Source organism: Homo sapiens, chromosome 5 (genome assembly GCF_000001405.40).
Source record: "Homo sapiens chromosome 5, GRCh38.p14 Primary Assembly".
Classification (NCBI taxonomy): Eukaryota; Metazoa; Chordata; class Mammalia; order Primates; family Hominidae; genus Homo; species Homo sapiens.
In genome coordinates, this window is record NC_000005.10 from 106,584,363 (window position 1) to 106,586,857 (window position 2,495).

Below are 2,495 nucleotides of genomic sequence, written 5' to 3' on the forward strand. Positions count from 1 at the left end.
TAGGCCACCGGGGTTTGCTAATTGGTACTTATCAAAATTCGGCTCCTCCCCTCCCACAGAGATGGAGGTGGGCCCTATCTGCAAGTGCTGACTAGAACAGTTAATTCTTTTGGCAGACTTGAGCTTTCTTAAGAAGGTATTTTAAGAAGGGCTGAGGTCATACTGGGGTGTGGCCTAGAGCTGTTATAAACTACGTGTGTGTTTGTCTCCGGTGTGTCTGTGTGTGTGTGTGCGCGCGCATGGGAGCACACGTGTGCGTGGCGGGGATTGGGTTGTGGATGAAATTATTTGCAATGACATTCTGCAGTTTTTACAGACCAGGGCTGAGGCTTAATCAAGAAGAGGGCTCATGGGAGTTTGACTGCAGTTTGGTCAGGGAGAAAGTTTTTATCAACTATCCGAGAGATTCGGCAATTCTGCTTTCCACAGCAAAGCCACATTCCTCTTCCCAATGTAGGAATTAAACTCTCAGCAGTTATCTACTAAGTCAAATTTGGAAGCACCATCTCCAGTGACTTTGTACAGTTAGGTCAAATTTATTCTTCTAGCTTGGCTTTTTCTCTTCCTTTCTGGTTCTTTGTTTGCAGTTTTCCTTTCTTTTAAAATTGTCCAATGAGTGTTTAAAAATGTATGTTGTTTTAAAGTTGAATTTCTCTAAAAATTCGAAAAGGGTACTTTAATTCTGTAAAATTCATCAAAATTTAAAATGTGTAAAATAGTATTATATTGCCAGGGGAATGATGAAAAGGTTATTAAAAGTTTTCTTAAGTAACCAATGAAGCATTTTCCAACTCTAATATTTACCAGTAAGTTGCATAATTAGTGTCTGGACAATGTGATTTCTATTCAAGACATATTTATTAAAATTCTATTTTATTTCCAATAATAGTGTAATACATGAACAACACAAATTGGAGTCGAAATATGATATTGTCACGATTGATTGAAGATAGCCAAATGAGTTAATCTCTGTTGCTCTAATACAGCAGAATCTTCAGTTATTTCTGTTAGTGTCATAAGGATTTTAACTCCTGTATAATAATGGAAAGAACAGTAGACAAATATAAAGCTATGTATTTGTGTGAAAATGTAAAAGGAAAATTGTTAACTAACAATTCTATGGTAATTCTTGAGTAGTTTGGAATAACGAAAATCTTGTCTTAAAGTATGTCTTACTCTGTCAATCACATATACTCTAATTTGCATATATATAATATATTCCTTATGGTTTAGAAAGCACCTAAACTACATTTGAAGAATTTGAAGTCACAATTTAAACTCTAATTAAGGGCTTTGAACTCCTACATTCTGTGTGGTTTAATATTTCCATTCCTGATTTTATATCTCTTACATATTCCATTTACTACATAATGAAACTAAAATTTTCATAGAGTATAACATGCCCTCTGAATTGTGAGTTGCATTTCCATAGTATGTATGAATCTTGACTGACTCAGAGGCAAATTCTTGTTACCAAAAACGATACTTGTGGCAATTTTCTACATTTTTTCCCTGGATCCCCAGCCTGCAAATTACTTGAAAATATTTAACTCAAGTGATTGGAACCAAAACTAATTACGCAAATATGATTGCCTGAAATTAAACCAAGTGTTTTCTTGTCAGATTTCTGAAAACAGTGCCATAATATGTTGGAGAGAAAGACGTATACCTGAAGCACCCAGACCTGTGTAATATAAATTAAATTTTAAATGAATTTCTGTTTGAAAAATCCTAAGTGCCTCCTTAGATACTAAGGCATGGGTAGGATAAAAGACTCACTTATACAAATCATTACATATTTAGGGCATTATACTAAAGGGCCAATCATATGGACAGTTGCAAAATATGGTCCCTTTTCCTAATGCATTTATAATCCACTGGGGATATTGGAGATTTAGCTAAACTATATCATGTTTAATGCTAGGTTCCAAATTAGCCTTTTAAATAAAAAGAGAAGTAGGCAGACAGAAATAGAAATGAATGCCAAGCTATAGATGTGGTCAGGAAGTCTTACAAGAGCAACTAGAAGCTAGACTGGAATTTAATGAAGAAAAGACAGGTTTCAGGTCAAAGATCATAAACTTATATGTCCATGTGAGTCAGTCAATAACAAGTGGAAGCAATATCCTGAGTATGTGAAGGACAATACACATGTCCTAAGCGGGAAACAAATACTCAACTTGAGTGGATTAAGAAGGAAAGTGGACACAAAGGTAGTAGATATCACAATGTTATGAGAATTAGCTGGATTATATGTTAAATATCCAAATTTTAAACTATTGACAGGTAATGACAATTTTAAAAAAACAACAAACACACACTAGACAGAACAAAATAGTAATCTATAGTTAAGTGTACTGTTGCTGTCAGAGGCGTGTGAACCAGAGCAACTCTGTCTTAAATAGGAGCTGGGTAAAATGAGGCTGAAACCTACTGGACTGCATTCCCAGACAGTTCGAGCATTCTAAGTCACAGGATGAGATAGGAGATCAACA

The 2,495-nt window shown here is 35.2% G+C and overlaps 1 annotated feature.

The window, feature by feature from the left end:
- Positions 242 to 761: an enhancer, noted in NCBI's record as "H3K4me1 hESC enhancer chr5:105920305-105920824 (GRCh37/hg19 assembly coordinates)". NCBI's record gives its function as "activates a minimal SCP1, AML or CMV promoter by ChIP-STARR-seq in naive H9 embryonic stem cells {active_cell/tissue: H9 hESC(naive)}" and the evidence as "EXISTENCE:reporter gene assay evidence [ECO:0000049][PMID:30033119]".